The sequence below is a fragment of the Homo sapiens genome, chromosome 20 (assembly GCF_000001405.40).
Source record: "Homo sapiens chromosome 20, GRCh38.p14 Primary Assembly".
NCBI lineage: Eukaryota > Metazoa > Chordata > Mammalia > Primates > Hominidae > Homo > Homo sapiens.
Window position 1 is genome coordinate 60,491,961 of NC_000020.11, and position 17,120 is coordinate 60,509,080.

At 41.2% G+C, this 17,120-nt stretch overlaps 1 annotated feature.

Moving 5' to 3' along the window:
- Positions 4,057-4,226: an enhancer, noted in NCBI's record as "experimental_60818 CRE fragment used in MPRA reporter constructs". NCBI's record gives its function as "activates a minimal promoter by MPRAs in K562 erythroleukemia cells, with activity observed for both the introgressed and non-introgressed 20:59071160 variant alleles {active_cell/tissue: K562}" and the evidence as "EXISTENCE:reporter gene assay evidence [ECO:0000049][PMID:34662402]".

Below are 17,120 nucleotides of genomic sequence, written 5' to 3' on the forward strand. Positions count from 1 at the left end.
TATATGTATCCTTATGTACCCGTTCATTCTTCACATACCCAAAGACTACAGGCTCCTATGCACTGATAAGAAAGGCTGACGTTTCTTTGCAGCTTATTTCATGATGGATACACCACCAGAGAAAGGAGGCTATTTGCAATTCCATTGTCATCTTGTCCTGCAAGGAATTTTGCCCCAATTGCACCAGGGAGCTTCTCTGGTTCTCAGAGCTCAGTGAGTTCTTGCAGACACTCGAGATCCTGGATCATTCTAGTGGATGTTTGAGGCTTTCAGCTGCCATCTCGTTTACTCTGTGTGTGCCTCTCAATATCAACCCTCCCACTAGCTGTTTGCGGGGGAACCCCAGGAATGAGTAGCTGATGGATCCATTGGAGAATAGGCCATAGAAGCCCTCCAGATCCCTCCTGGATGCCGGGCCTCAATTTACTTCTGATAGTAATTATCTCCTGGACCATGACTCTCAGATGGCTAGACCTCTATGGGAAACACATTCCAGGCTAAGGAGAGGAGTATTCCTGTTTTCAGGCATTCACATGGTCAGTGGGCGGAATGGGGGTAGAAATTGTGGGCCCTTGTTTCAGATGGTAGAACTAAGAGTTCCAGAGGAAATTGTGGAAAGTAGTTTTCAATTGGTTAGAATGGAAACTTGCCTGTCTCCACTGTCGCAGAAAGAATTCTAAGTAGAGGATTCTGATTTTAGAGCAGAGGCAGGAGGGCTAAATTCTCTGGGGTTTGTGGGGAGGTGAAATTTAGGTGTGATTGTAACAGCCAGAACAGGTCTTAGGTCCAGCAGAATTAAATCCTTAGATATGATCTATGTAGCAGCAGTCAGGACTGCAAGAACTAGATTTTAAATGGGGATCTGGTTAGACTCTAGACAGCTTGATAGGCAAGAAGTCAGGTTCTGAGCCAGAGTCCTGGGAAATTCTAAGAGCATCTTACGTCTCAGCAAGTCCAGGCATCCCCATGACTTCCACATATCTCGGATTCCAGGACTCTCATCTTTGCATCCTTATGGTAGATTGTTTCTCCCCTGTGGTCCCAATAAACCTCAAATCTGGGAGGATTGCTTTAAAGGGGTCACGGGAGAGGACAGCCCAGGCTTTGACAAGCACATTCGTTCACATAAGGGCAATGGACAACTTCAAGTTTGGGTAGAAAATGCTGAAAATGACAAAGTTTTGTCAGGAATGCTGTTTTTGACTTTAAGATGCCTGAAAGGCATTTAAACACTAAACTCCCATGTAGCTTTCCCGTGGATGATATATAACTCCATTTACAGCTATAATCTGGGTAACAAAATGAATACTCCATCATTGTACTATGAATAGTAAATTAACCCAGATAAAAGTGTTCTACATCCAATCAAAACCATTAAGGAACTAGGAGACTAAGATTGGTGAGGACATTTTGGAGGCAATTATAACTAATGAATACATTAACTTCAAGAAGGAGGATGGTTTCAGTGGCTTTCTGGTCTCTCCAAATAAAATTAGGGTAGGTGGGAACAAAGCTGAAATAATTTTGAGAAAAGGACAGATTTATTGATCTACACAGAGCCATTAGAAGGGGAAATGGTTTCTTAGGAGAGAGACTTGGGCATATTAGTCTTCAGAATAATCATTAAAAAGAATGAAAGACATTTTCCCTTCTTACCACATTTACAACCCGTCTAGCTTAGACCAAAAGAGCTCACACTTTGTCCCCTATTCAGGGATTTTGGTGTGGAAATTTTTCACTTTCTTTTAAGATATACTATTTATTGTGTTTTAAAAGTGAAATTAATGCATACTAATTGTGGGCTGTATGGAAAACACAAAAAATGCAAAAATAAAAACAATCTATAGTCTTATCACCCAGAGATGACCATTATTAACATTTTGGGGTAACCAGTCTTTTATTTTTCTATATTCGTATATGTTTGGGGATATTTATAGATGATTCTCTATACTCAAGAATAATGGCTTTAATATTTTTATAAAAATGATAACTCATCCTATAAAATTCAAGTCATATAGAAAAATTCAAAGGAAGATACTAAAAATCATCATCTGAACTCTCACCCACAGTAGTTAATCATGCCCACTTTCAGCATCTCTCTCTAGCATATGTGCAGATAAGGGAGAAAGAGATCAATTACCTTCTACAGAAAAACGATGATTCTGTGCATGCTTTTTTTTTTTTTTTTTTTTTTGAGACGGAGTCTTGCTCTGTCGCCCAGGCTGGAGTGCAATGGCATGATCTCGGCTCACTGCAACCTCCGCCTCCCGGGTTCAAACGATTCTCCTGCCTCAGCCTCCCAGTAATCTAGGATTACAGGAATGTGCCACCATGCCCGGCTAATTTTGTATTTTTAGTGGAGAGGGGGTTTCACTGTGTTGGCCAGGCCGGTCTTGAACTGCTGACCTCAGATGATCCGCCTGCCTCGGCCTCCCAAAGTGCTGGGATTACAGGCGTGAGTCACCGCGCCCAGCCATGCTATTTTAGTGAAAAAAATATTTTGCTATTTAAAACAGGCAAATCAGCAAAAATAAAATAGGGGCTGCTGTATAACCCGCAACTGTCTCCGGAGGCCATGTTGGTCTTGGAGGTCTTGGCTGTTCTTACACTTTGTTTTCACTTCTTTGCCTTGAGACATCCCTGAGTTTTTGTCATTCAAGACAGCAATGCACCTCTTAGTAAGGCTCTTAAGTCACAGCTGGCTGCTGTCATAGCACTGACTTCCTTTTCCACACTAGGAGCCAATTTCTTTAGCCTGGAGGCTCAAGCCCCAGCACCACAGAGGCCAAAAAGGGGGCCTCGGTGATCTTCTACCATCTTCTACTGTGGCACCAAGTTGCTAGAGGGGCATTCCTAGCTTCCTGCTACTGACTCACACCTGCAGATTCAAAGGAGAGATGTCCAGACACAAACAGAACAAACAACACTTCCAAGAGCTAAGTAGTAATGCAAATGAATTAAATGGGGCATGTATACTGAAAGCAAACAAGCAAATAAACATGAGCATGAAAATTACATTCAAAATGATGGTCAAAACTCCCCAGGCTGCTGGTGTCATGCAGGAGTTGTGGTCCAGTGTGGGCATATCCTCAAATTTTTCAAAAGGAGCCAGAGATCTAAAGGATTTAAAGATTTTGTTTTTGTTGTTTTTTTGAGATAGAGTCTCACTCTGTCACCCAAGCTAGAGTGCAGTGGCGTGATCTCAGCTCACTGCAACCTCGGCCTCCCAGGTTCAAGTGATTCAGTGATTCTCCTGCGTCAGCCTCCTGAGTAGGTGGGGTTACAGGCACAGCCCACCATGCCCAGCTCATTTTAGCATTTTTAGTAGAGATGGGGTTTCACTACATTGGCCAGGCTGGTCTTGAATTCCTGACCTCAAGTGATCCGCCCACCCCAGCCTCCCAAAGTTCTGGGATTACAGGCGAGAGCCACGGTGCCCAGCCTAAATTTTTAAGTGAAATCTCCTTATTTATGTCGGTTGACAGTCAACTAAATAACTAAAAACACTATAAAACAAAGCCCATTGTTAATCAGTCCAATTTCTTCCTTTGCTATAAACACAATTTAATAAAGTACAGAGACCAGTTAAATGTAAATATCAAATGATCAATGAATACTTTTTGTGTAAGTATATCTCATGCAATAGTTGGTACATTCTTATACGAAAAATACTTATTGTTTATCTGGAATTTAAATGTCACCAGGCATCTTGAATCTTTCCTGGCTGGCCTGGGTGAGGAGGCTCTCCAATCTGTCCTCGCTGCTCTCAGGAAATCTAGGGGCTTGGGGGAGGTATGTTACCATCCACTGTCTGCCTGTTCCTGTCCAGTTTTCAAACTACTCAGCGGGTGTCTTGTTGGTGTTTTGTCCATTTCCTTTTTCATTGATGATGTAGCTTCTTTTCCCCCTTGCTATTGTTTCTTATTTTATTTTTGTTCTCTGTAGGTTTCAAGAAAATAGTGGGATAAAAATGCATTTTTTTAACCATCTTGAGGGATAGTCTGATAATCTGCTTTTTAATTTAACTTTGTATAATTTTTTCAACCTTAAATATTTTTAAAACATATTTTTCTTGGCTGCCTATAGGCCCTTTTGTGAATTTACCAAAATTATCTTAGCTGAATCTTAATTATATTTCATGCGCAGAAATCCTGTGTACAAATATTTGAGCTAAAAAAAGAATTTAATTGAAGTAATAATTCATTATTCTCTTTGGTCAGTGCCTGGGCCAGGAGAAAAGGGAAAGAACGATCCACAGAAGGGTTATCTCTGACTATTCTTAGGAAACTCTAAAGAATTTCCCAGGGCTTTGAGGCAGCTTACCCCAAAACCCTGGTCCTTGGCTTTCAGGCAGCTCACCCTGAAACCCTGGTCCTTGGCTTTTCAGGATGCCAGTGGGCTCCATTATGTTTACCTTATACACACTGGTAACAGATTTATCTTTCTCTTCCACATCATCTGGGAATCCCTTCCTATTAGTTGGCTTCTAATGAGCTTTGTAATCATTCATTTTATCTCAAGGCAAACACTATTAACCAGGTTTGGTGTGATTAAGAAAAGTGCTTCTTCAAGCGCTCATTTTTTCTGGTGGGGATGATTCTCAGGTAATTAAACCACATCGTGAAGAAACAACTTGATACATCGGCTTATTTTGCTTTTGACAACATGATTAAAAGTACTAGGCTTTCCATCACAATTTGCTGCAAAGAATGTTGACATTCCACTTGATACCCTTTAGAATCTAAAGTTATGTCAGACAGACAAAAGCAACTCTACGACAAGTGAAGGCAGGTACTCCCGTGTCCTGTCTGAATAGTCCATTTAGGGAGTAGCTTGCAGTGACCCGGGCTTGTTTAGATTATAAGGTCACCATTGAGACCACATCCCACTTCCCAAGATAACCAAATTCCATAAAGAAGTCAAGCAACATTGGTGCATTTTAATGGAATAAAACACTCCGGTGACTTCATTCCAGGCTCTGTGTCATGTAACACAGATTTGGTGAAACAAGTGTAGCATGCTTTGTCACGTTTGTTTGCATTTTCATTGCTGCTCTTTTAAATTTTGTGGGTGGCTTCAGTTGCCACTTTTCTGAATTTATGAGCTCAGTTATGTAGGAAACATGAGGCAATTTGTTCAGCATTTTGGGCATACTTAAGCAAGTTTTTGTCTTTAGAGAGGGTCAAATTGGCCTTTTAGCCTTTATCTAGCATGAGAGGCATCCACTGGGCAGAGCTCTTGCACCTGGCCGCTCGGGGCTTGCTGACCAGATTATAGGGATCATCTATGTTTCAGCAGTCAGTCCCTAGTCCAGTGAGTTCTGGCTAGGATATTTAAAAAGAAACAGGAAGGAAAGGAGAGGAGAGGAGAGGGGAGGGGAGGGAAGAAGGAAGAAAGGAAGGACAGAGGGAGGGATGGAGGAAAGAAGAGAAGGAAGAAAGGAGAGACAAAGGGAGGGAAAGAATAGGAAAAAAAATCACTGGTTTATGATATTTACCATGCATAGAAAGATGACTGAGATGTTACTCAGGAGGTGGTTAAGGGTGTGGCAGATACTCAGAACATCATTTAAACTTTAAAGTTTCATTCCCAAGAGAAATATGTAGAAATATGTATGTAGTAGTTCTCCCAAGAGAAATATGTAGTAGTTCTAAAACGCTAATCTATCCAATTACGATTTGTACCTAAGATACCTCTCAATATCTGAAGACATCAAGACAAAAAGACAGCTACATTTCTAGCGCCTCATGGGGGGAAATTCAATATAAAGAAGAAGAAAAAAGTAAAGAATAGTCTCTTCTCTCCTGTGCATTACAAGCCCATATGGCCCCCCAAAAATGTCACCCTAGAGTCTTTCTTGCTAGCTGGAGCACAGCTTGATTTTCAGAGATGATTGAGTTGGCATGGCTGTTGCCAAAAGCTTGTTTTGACTTGTAAACGTACAAGTTTGGGATAAAACTCAGTGATAGAGGAGAAAAAGAGAATGCTAAGTTATCATTTTTACAATTGCACTTTAGAACCTGTAGCTGTGATTGGTGGCAGTGTTTTCCCCCTTAATTCTTTTGCCAGTGTGTTTTCTATTATTTTTGCCAACCTCTTGTTTCCAAACCACTTGCCCAGTATGCTGTCTCTATTCAAGTAATTGCAGGATTCACTGTTGGAAAATGGAAGATTGTTTCAGCTCCCACAGATATGTATCTCATGAGATTTAAGATTGTCTTTCCTTTGCTTATTCTTTCCTTTCTTGAGTCAAATGATGCAACATTCTCAGCAATAGCAGACAACAGTACAAAATGAAAAAAATACATATGAAATATGTTTATTTTATATAAATTAATATTTATATCTCATTCCACTTACAAAATAATTTTCTTTAGTCTCACAACATTTTCTCTCTTTCGTCAAAGTACTTTCTTCTACTTTAGCTGCTAAGTCACTTAGGTCTAAATCGACACAGATTACACCTGCTTGAAATCTCTGGTGGGGTTGAAATTGCCAGATAATTAGAAGACCAGATTAGGAACCGAGTGCAACCTGGTCAACGTTGAGAAAACTTACCAAATCTTTATTAAGTTGAGAAGGGGGAACACAGCCATTTGTTTTTCCGGATGACATCACTTTTTATTACCAAGGGTATGTTACTTGGATTGTTTTCTACAAGTGTTACCATCGACCACTTTGCAGTGCCATTTATGCTGGCAACTCTCAAATTTGTCTTTAGCATTTCTAAGATTGATTCCCCCATCTTCTATTAAAAACAAACATCTATTGAAAAAATGTCCTATAGAAATGTAGGAAATTGATTCCAGCTCTTGAACTGGGCTGACTGTACTTCGATCCGTGTGATAGAAATGTTCCAGGGACATTCATAAACTGTTGAATTTCACACACAGAAAAATTGCATAGAGCGTGTTCTTCCTAGTTGTAGCAGTAACAGCCTTTCGAGTCCCCCATTCTATATCTCTTTTCTTGACCCATCTTTGTTTTATCTCCCTGCCTCCTGTATCAAATTACCTTGGAGGCTTTGAAGTCACAGAAAATCAAAAGTTAGGAAGAGATGCATACACACCTTAGGCTATTGCTCAGTGACTTAGGCATAAGCCCCCTAATGCCCATTTTATGAGTGGCTTAAACCACGTTCAAATATAGGTCAGAAAATTATTGAGGCTTTATTTACTCTCTCTTTTCAGGGCTGCTGGCTGACATACACCCCCTTCTGCTGAAAGGTGTTAAAGAAATATGCCCAGAGCATAGTAGGCCCTCATTGCATTCTCATTGACTTGATGTCAGAGAAAAAAAAAATTAGCATTTTCAAAATTTGCTGTTGAAAATTTGAGACCCAAAAAAGTGTATATAGATCAAGTTGTTGTTTTACAGAGCAATGGTGAGGGGAGGGCAGAATGCTGTAAGCATCAAACCACATGCGGTCAATTCATCTATAATGATGGTTACCAATTTTTACGGACTTCCTTCTGCCTCCACAGGCACTGCTTCATGTGATATGCACAAAACTCTGTGAGTTGTTCACTTTCCCTTCCCCTCGTTCATTCATCCATCCAACAAATATTTACTGAGCATCTGCTATGTGCCCATGCGTGGGAACAGCACATTGATGGAGACAAACTGACCCACGGCCACACGGAGCATTATCTTGGCTCAAAGAGCTGCAGGCTGTGATCTTAGGCCTCTTCCAGCTCCCTGTTGGTGGTTATATGATCCGCAAGCTAAGAATGGTTTTTACATTTTTTGATGGTTGAAGAAAGATCAAAGAAGAACCCTGTTTGGTGATAGGTGAAAAATACATGAAATTCAAATTTCAGTGTCCATAAGTAAAGGATTTATTGGTGTCCTAGCCCCATCCATTTGTTGACGTATTGTGTGTGGCTGTTTTGTAATACAAGGACAGTCTAAGTGGGTGACAGAGATTCTATGGCCCTGACCCTGTACAGAAAAAAAGTTCCCGACACCAGTCTTAGGGATGAAAAAACCAAGGTGAACTAGCTTTCCTTAGATGCTCTCTGACTCCAAAACCATTGTCTATATAACACACTACACCATCACCATTGCTCTCACCGTGAAACCTGACTGTTCACAGGGCTTTTTATTTAACCAGGTTAAACAGAAAATTAAACTGGTTCTTATGGACATTGCCAGTCTACATGGGGAAGCACCTTTTCAGATTACATGGCCCTTTGACATTAAAACTATGATAATTCTTTGAAAATTTTCAACGACCAGTGGCATAGAATGGATGGTAATGCACCGAGGTTATGGGGATGGGGATGGGACGAGGTTATGGGGATGGGGATGGGATGAGGTTATGGGAATGGGGATGGGATGAGGTTATGGGAATGGGGATGGGATGAGTTATGGGGATGAGGATGGGATGAGGTTATGGGGATGGGGATTCACTGAGGTTATGGGGATGGGATGAGGTGATGGGGATGGGATGAGGTTATGGAAATGGAAATAGAATGAGGTTATGGGGTGGGCATGTGCAGAGGTTATGCGGATGAGTTGAGGTTATGGGGATGGGGATGAGATAAGGTTATGGGGATGAGATAAGGTTATGGTGATGGGGAAGTGCTGAGGCTATGGGAATGGAGATGTGCTGAGGTTATGCAGGTGGGGACAGGTTGAGGTTATAGGGATTAGTATGTGCTGAGGTTATGAGGATGGTGATCAACTGAGGTTTTAGGATTGGGGATGGGATGAGGTTATGGGGACAGGGATGCATTGAGGTTATAGGGATGGAGATGTGCTGAGGTTATGGGAATGGGGATGGGATGAGGTGATGGGGATGGGATGAGGTTATGGAAATGGAAATAGAATGAGGTTATGGGGATGGGCATGTGCAGAGGTTATGGGGATGAGTTGAGGTTATGGGGATGGGGATGGGGATGAGATAAGGTTATGGTGATGGGGAAGTGCTGAGGCTATGGGAATGGAGATGTGCTGAGGTTATGCAGATGGGGAAAGGTTGAGGTTATAGAGATTAGTATGTCCTGAGGTTATGAGGATGGTGATCAACTGAGGTTTTAGGAATGGGGATGGGATGAGGTTATGAGGATGGGGATGCCCTGAGGTTATGGGGACAGGGATGCATTGAGGTTATAGGGATGGAGATGTGCTGAGGTTATAGGAATGAGGATGGGATGAGGTTACGGGGATGTGTTATGGGAATGTGGAAGTGCTGAGGTTATGGGGATGGGGATGGGATGAGGATATAGGGATGGTGATGCCCTGAGGTTACGGGGATGAGGATGGGATGAGGTTATGGGTACAGGGATGGGATGAGGGTATAGAGATGAAGATAGGATGAGGTTATGGGGATGGGGATGTGCTGAGGTTATGGGGACAGGGATGGGATGAGGGTATGGGGATGGTCATGTGCTGAGGTTATGGGAATGAGGATGGGATAATGTTATGGGGACAGGGATAGGATGAAGTTATGGGGATGGGGATGTGCTGAGGTTATGGGGATGGGGATAGGATGAGGTTATGGGGACAGGGATAGGGTGAGGTTGTGGGGATGGGGGACATGCTGAGGTTATGGGGATGGGGATGTGCTGAGATTATGGGGATGGGGATGTGCTGAGATTATGGGGATGGGGATGGGATGATATGGGGACAGGGATAGGATGAGGTTATGGGGATGGGGATGTGCTGAGGTTATGGGGATGCTGATGAGGAACAAGATCTCAACTGTTTCATAACTACAGGAGATGAATCCTCAGAAACTGAATTGCCCTACACTACATGCCACCACTCCTAATTGTTTTCCTTCTAAGCAATATATTTTACCTTATAATAAAGATCACCATGATTGTCATATTTCTTTTTTTCTATTTATTTTCTGCCTGTTTCCTTAGATTTCAAACAAAAGATATTTTGTTCTTAAGTTGTTAAAATACAGCATTGTTTAAATCTCCAAATCCCAATATTCCAAATATTTATTGTTAACCATAATTGAGCAATTTCAGATAATATTTTCACTGGTATAAAGTAATCTTTCTGCAACTCACATCATAAAGATTCTTAACAGATATTCTATCCTTGGACAAACACTGTGATATTATTCTCAGGATGAACTTGGTATTCACACTCCTTTTCTTGTCCTTGCTAACACTGAGCTGATCTAGGAGACCCATTGGTTGGGCGTGATGAGGATTTCAATTCTTCCTTGGATAATGCTGAATAACAGATACTTATAGAGACTTCACCTAAAATATGGAAACAGTTTCTTATTTTGCTCTTCCTAACAAAACCCCTTTTATTTAGGCTCAAATTAAATTTTGTCTTGCTAAGACCTAATACAATCCCATTAATGTCCTTTCTAATTATTTTCTGTTTATCAGAATTACTGAATCATGACATTGAGTCTTAATCGTTTTGATTTCTGCTGCAGATTAATCCCACCTCAAACTTATCTGCATGTCCTCACATTTGTCTACATCTCTGTCTGGGGAGTTGTGTGCTTAAGTCATTAACTCCAATTAGAGTGGAGAATCCGTGGCCACCTGAGCCCAGGACTGTGGGCCATGGAGGCATCTTCAGAAGCTGTTGATTTCATTTTCTTTGGGGACCTGCACAAGGAGGGTACTGTTCCTGATGTCAGATCATAATTGTTACCCTGAGGTCCTGGCACCAGAAGGCCCGAGTTAAAATCCATGCTTTCCCTTTGACTCTACTGGTAACTTCGAGCAAGTGCTTCACCTTTTTAAAGCTTCAGTTGCCTCATCTGTTAACCAAGATGCCCACAGTCGCCACCTCCTAGGTTGGTCCTACCCTTCAATGCACGTGAACATAAGAGTAATGGTACCGGCCAAGGGAAGCCCTTGGATGTTGTTATCGTGGTCAATATTATTTTTATTGTCATTCTCATGAATGTAAAGTGACAAGGTCATCCTTACATTTCAGGTCTCTACGTTTTGTCATTCCTCCAACTTAGCCCTATCTTTCAATGTCTTTAACCAATTATGTTTTGTCCTTGGAACCCTCTGGAGGCTGTTCTTTATTCTTAGGCTGTTCTTCTCTGTCCTCTCTGCCTCAATAACTCTCTCTGTTCCAAAACCATGTGGAATGCAGGCGCTCATCAAAACTTCCCAGGGAGGCTTTTCTTTCTTTCCCTTTTATCCAGGCTGAGGCAGACAATGAAGGGTATCACCTCTTAAGACTCAGGCTTCTGCAGCTGCTGCTGGGAATCCCGTTGCCAGTCTAATGGTCCTGCCTTCATAGAAAAATGTCTTTTTAATTCTTAGGTCATTTTAAACATGTTTAGGGATTGACTTTCTTTTTAAAAGGTATCCGGTCGGATGCCCATGCCGTCTATGCTAATTATGGGTTCCCACCCTTTATCTCCGGTCCATCTTTCTGGAATTCCTATTCAATGTACGTTGGGCCTATTCTATTTTCCATGGCATTTTAATCTCAACCCATTTTCCATCACCCTTTGTCTCCAGGCTGCTTTCAGGGTAATTTCTGTATTATTAATTCTCCTTTCAGCGATTTACCTGCTATTTCATCCTTTGATCGACTGTGTCCTTAATTCCTGTGACTGCAGTTTCATTCTGTAAATTCTGTTTGGTCCCCTTTTAAATCTGCCCATGTGACTGTCATCACACTGCATTCATTTCTCGTATCTTTGCTTCTTTTATGTTCTTGATCATTTTTAATTGTTTAGATTCTTTTTTTTTTTTTTTTGAGATGGAGTCTCGCTCTATCGCCCAGGCTGGAGTGCAGTGGCGTGATCTCGGCTTACTGCAAGCTCCGCCTCCCGGGTTCACTCCATTCTCCTGCCTCAGCCTCCCTAGTAGCTGGGGCTACAGGCATCTGTCACCACGCCTGGCTAATTTTTTTTTTCTGTATTTTTAGTAGAGATGGGGTTTCACCGTGTTAGCCAGGATGGTCTTGATCTCCAGACCTTGTGATCCTCCCGCCTCGGCCTCCCAAAGTGCTGGGATTACAGGTGTGAGCCATTGTGCCCGGCCAATTCATTTTTAATGTACTAAATTTGTGATAGAATTTTCCCATTATCTGCAGTGCTTGGGTTTTCACCCTGCCGTTTGTCTGGCCTGTGGACACTCACTTATGGTGGAGGATTCCTTACACATTTTATGATTTGAATTGTGAATCTATGCTCAGTGGACTCTCGTGTGCCTGGATGGTAGGTGTCTTCCCCACAGCAATTTTGTACTTGTTTCTGTCAGATGTCCTAGGGTTGTGGCCAGCTGTAGGCTACTTTTTATGTTAAAACTTTGACTTGAAAGTTTGGGGATATGAGAGTTGAATTTTGAACCCCAAATCCACGTGAGATTCATGTCCTGATGATGAATTCTCAGGAGAGATCTTTTATGTTTCTTTCCCAAGTGAGGCCAGGCAGCAACAAATAAGAAGCTGTGGTGTTGCGGGTTGATGTGCTTTTCTGTGTTACTCTGAACTAAGGGTGTGACTTTGGAGGGTCCTAGTTTTATGGGGGTGTCAGTCCTACCTGCTCTCCTTGCTCTGCTCTGAGGGGTACAAAAATGTCTAAGTCAGTGTTTTTAAATGCTGCTGGGATCCCCAAACCAGCTACATAGGCATCACTTGTAAGCTGTTAGAAATGCAAAATCTCATACCCAAACCAAGACCGACCGAAGGAATCAGAAACTGGGCAGGTGGGCTGAGTCTAGAAAAATGTGTTTTTAAGACCCCGTCAGATTCACATGCACCTGGACGGCCACCACTCCGGCTGGTGAGACCAAGTCTCTGCACACACACCTGTTCTTTACAGGGCAGCTACAGTCCACCTGGTTAGCCCCCTGAGGTTTTAAGCTTTTTCTCCTTTTCTGCACCTGGGAATTCCTCATTCTTTCCAGCTTGCCTAGTCATGCTTATAAAGTAATGTTTATTATGTTTTATCTCTTTTAAAATAATATGCACACTGACTAAGAACCAGCTGAAAATTTTTTAAAAAGAAAAAAAATAACAATAGTAGGAGTAATTTTGGTTATCTTCTCTGCCCTCCTGCTAAAATCAGAAGTTGGTAATTATATAATTTTATTGTAAGTTTACTGCCATTCCTAACCCACAGACTGTCAGCTCTGTGAAGGCAGGCATTCATCCCCATTTCTGCTCTTGACTAAATATTCAGCTCCTACTCAGTGAGGGAAATACAGCAGCTACTCCACAAATGTTTATTTGTAGGATGAGTACCTAAATGAAAAAGGGAGACATTAAACTATTTCTGTAAGAACATTCTATTTCCGTTAGATTGTTCAAAATCATACAACTGCCTGTATTCATACTTTTAGGGGACAACCCCTCCCCAGTGTGGAAATTTTGCTGTGCTCTTTCTGCTCGTTCATGAAACTTAAAAGCCGTGAAGCCTCCACAAGCTTCTCTCACCAGAGTTGTCTTTTCTTTCTGAGTCTACCCACACTGCCTTGAGGAATCCCTTCTGCCTTTGTACAGTGCTGTTTTTTTTTACTTATCATTCTGTAGCCTGGTGGTAAATAGCCTGTAGAGTCAAAGTGCCTGGTTTTATTTCTTAGCTGTACCTCTTGACTACACGCATGACCTTGCCTTTCCTCCTGCATTTCCTCATCTGCACAGCAGGGATAGTAATAGCCCCACTTCATGGTGTAGCAGGAGGATTCAGTGGATGCTGTGAAGCTCTTCGCATGGTACATGGCCCCTGACAAGCACTTGGAAGGGCCCGCTATTATTTTTATTTCCTGTGTATTTCTTTTCTTTCCAAGCAGCCTAGAAATTTAGTGTTTCCCAAGTACACATCATATTGCTTGGCACACACACACAAATTGTAGAATGAATAAATGAATGACCATCATTTGAGATAACAGTAGGCTGTAGTAGATACTGTGTATATAGAGCTATACAGAGCTGTGGGTCCAGCTCTGGGCCCACTATATTCCCAAACATGATGCCCAATATATGCACTTAATACCATCATATTTGAATACTGCTATGTAATTTGCAAAGTGACCTCATATCTATCATTTCACCAAACTAAGATGAATTACAAGATTACATGAGTATATAATCTTTGTTAAAAATATCACATATCACAACCAAGAAAAAAGCTCCTCTTGACCACCAAAGCCAGACCTGGTTCTCCTTCCATCCTCAGTAGTGATTGAGTGAGAGTTCCTTCCAGACCTTTCTCTATGCATCCATAAAACAGACACACAACCGTGGAAGCATGGAGTCCTTTGCCTGCGTGTGGAGCATAGATGTGGTCATGCTGTAGGACTAGAGCTGCCACTCAGTGATGACATCTTGGAAATCTCCCCATGGCAGTACACAGAATTGGCTTATTCCTGGCAACAACTTTGCATTCCATAGTGTGGAAATCCAATTGAAAGCACAATTGTTTTCTTGTTCAACCCTTTGTCGGGTTGTTGCAATATATATTTATTATAAACAATGCTGCAAAGAATATCCTTAAAATGAAGAAGTGAAATTTCTCTGATTTTATATATATATGTACATATTTATAAACACACAAATATATGTAACATAAACTAACATGATGTATATATAAATTATGTATAATACATACATTATGTAAATTATATATACACATATAAATTATATACCATAAAGAAATCACACACACAGATGTATCCTTTCTTTGTACCTGTGACTACCATGACTAGATTTCATTTTTAATCCTTTCGTAAATGCATCTGATCTTTGAAGTAGACCCTGAAATGGGTTAACATTGTCTCCTGGGCGTCTCACAGATTCTGATGAAGAAAGCTTTACTGAGCACTTACTACACACCATGTTAAGTGCTAGCGGCTTTTGCATCTGCTGCTCTGTTTAAAGTATGTCTTAGGGTGCACCAGCTCCTGGGCTTTGATACCCACCTACCCTGGGGTGCCAACAGCATGTTCATTTCCATCCAGGGATGCCTGGGCCCTCTTATTCAGGGACTCACTGTTCCTGTCTCACTCACTGACTCTCTTCCAAGGCATGCACTGACACCCTTGCTCTCAGTTCACCTTACGCTTCAATTTATTCCCTATTTACCTCCTGCTTAATTTCATTTTGAGAAAATAGATTTAAAACATCATAATCTACATGCATATTGTGTTTGCTTCAAGTGTTTCCACCTAATTTCCAAATTGGCTTAAAGCAAAACTCCTTCTCGCGGAGACGACTCCTCCTCACTCAAGGAATTGAATTTATTTCCTACTGCGCTGGAGAGTGGATCTGTTTAAAAAGGACTCCCGAGATTGAACACACACACACACACACACACACACATACACACACACACACATACATACACACACACACACACATACACACACATATACACACATACACACACACACACATACACACACACACACACAGGCATGCACACCCCTTCCCCTGTGAATACAATAACATGAGCAGGGCTGTATTGATCCCTGCAGTGCTTTAAAGAACTGCCTGGATAGCTAATCTATAAGCGACTAGTTACTTCTTCACTCCGTTCACTGCAGCCTTGTCTCCCACCTCCCTCCTCCCCATGTAGTGGGTGGGGGCTGATTCTTCTGTCATCCTCTTCTGCCCTGTGCTGACGCTTGGTGCTATGTAGCAGCCTCTGTACTATGCAACTGCTCTGAGTAAACAACAGAACATCACCCACGTTTAATACTCATGGATTAATTAGAAATGCCTCAGATTCATCAGTGCAAAAGGAAAAGAAAAGAACAATGTAGTCACAAATTATTAACAGTCACTTTTGCTACTATCGTGCTTTCTTTGCATTAGATCATCTTTTTTTAATGTGGTGTGGGCTGAGGCTGAAAAAATGCATCCCCATGATTTCTTTTTTTCAAATCAAAGAGAACAACGGATATAAAGATGCACACCTCCCTGTTAGCTCATCTGAATGCCTTGTCTCTCAATCCAGAATCAACCATTATTACAAGCTTAGTGTAATTCTTCAGATATATGTAGATTTCTCTCTCCGCTGTATTTAGCAATAATGGGAGAATACGATGCTTACTGTTTTGCAACTTGGTTTTTGCAGTTAATCCATATTCAGACATTATTTTTCACTGGTTCACATACACCTATCTCATTTTTTTTCACATCCATATAATACTGCATGGAATGGGTGCAACTTAATGTATTTAAACAGAGTCAAATTAAGTTGTTTCAATTGTCAGTGAAAATAATGCTGTAAAACAAAGCAAAACAAAAACTCCACCTTCTACATGTGTCATTATTTCATGTGAGCATATCTATAGAATAAGTTCTAAGAGAAGAAATTCGGGGCCATGAGATAGGTGCATTTTTAAAGTAAGATTTTTACTGAAGTATAACAATCATATACTTTTCAAATCAAAGAGAACAACGGATATAAAGATGCACACCTCCCTGTTAGCTCAGATCTGAATGCTTTGTCTCTCAGTCCAGAATCAACCATTATTACAAGCTTAGTGTAATTGCAGTTAATCCATATTCAGATATTATTTTTCACTGGTTCACATACACCTACCTCAGATCCAGAAAACAAAGACAGCTAAAACTCCAGAAGGCTGCTGGTGCCCCACTGAGGTACCATCCTGTCTTCGATCACCATAGCTGACTTTTCCTTGTTTGTGGATTTCATGCCAGGGAAGCACAGAGCAGACACTCTTTGTAACATTCACCCAAGCTATTGCGTGTGCTGTAAGTGTGTACCTATTCATTATTGTGTAGGACTCCCTAATATCAACAGTATCCATTTATTTATTCTACTTTTGATATACATTTGGGCTGCATCCATATTTTGTCTATTGCCAATAAAACTGCGACAAACATTTTTGACATATTTTTAGTGCACAGAAGTATGCATTTCTGCTAAGTATATCCCTGAAAGTTGAATTGTTTGGTCATAGATATTCAAGTATTCTGCTTCGAAATCCCCAAAGAGATTTTCAAAGTATTGTAACATCTATTCACCCACCAGCAGTTCATGACTGTTCAAGTTGTTCCACACCCTCACCAATATTTTGTATTTTCTGTCTTTTTATCTTTAGCCATTTTGTTGAGTCTGCAGTGGCATCACATTTTGGATTGAATTTGCATTTCTGTGACAGGGAATGCTAGCAATTACCTTTCCACACCTGTGATGGCCA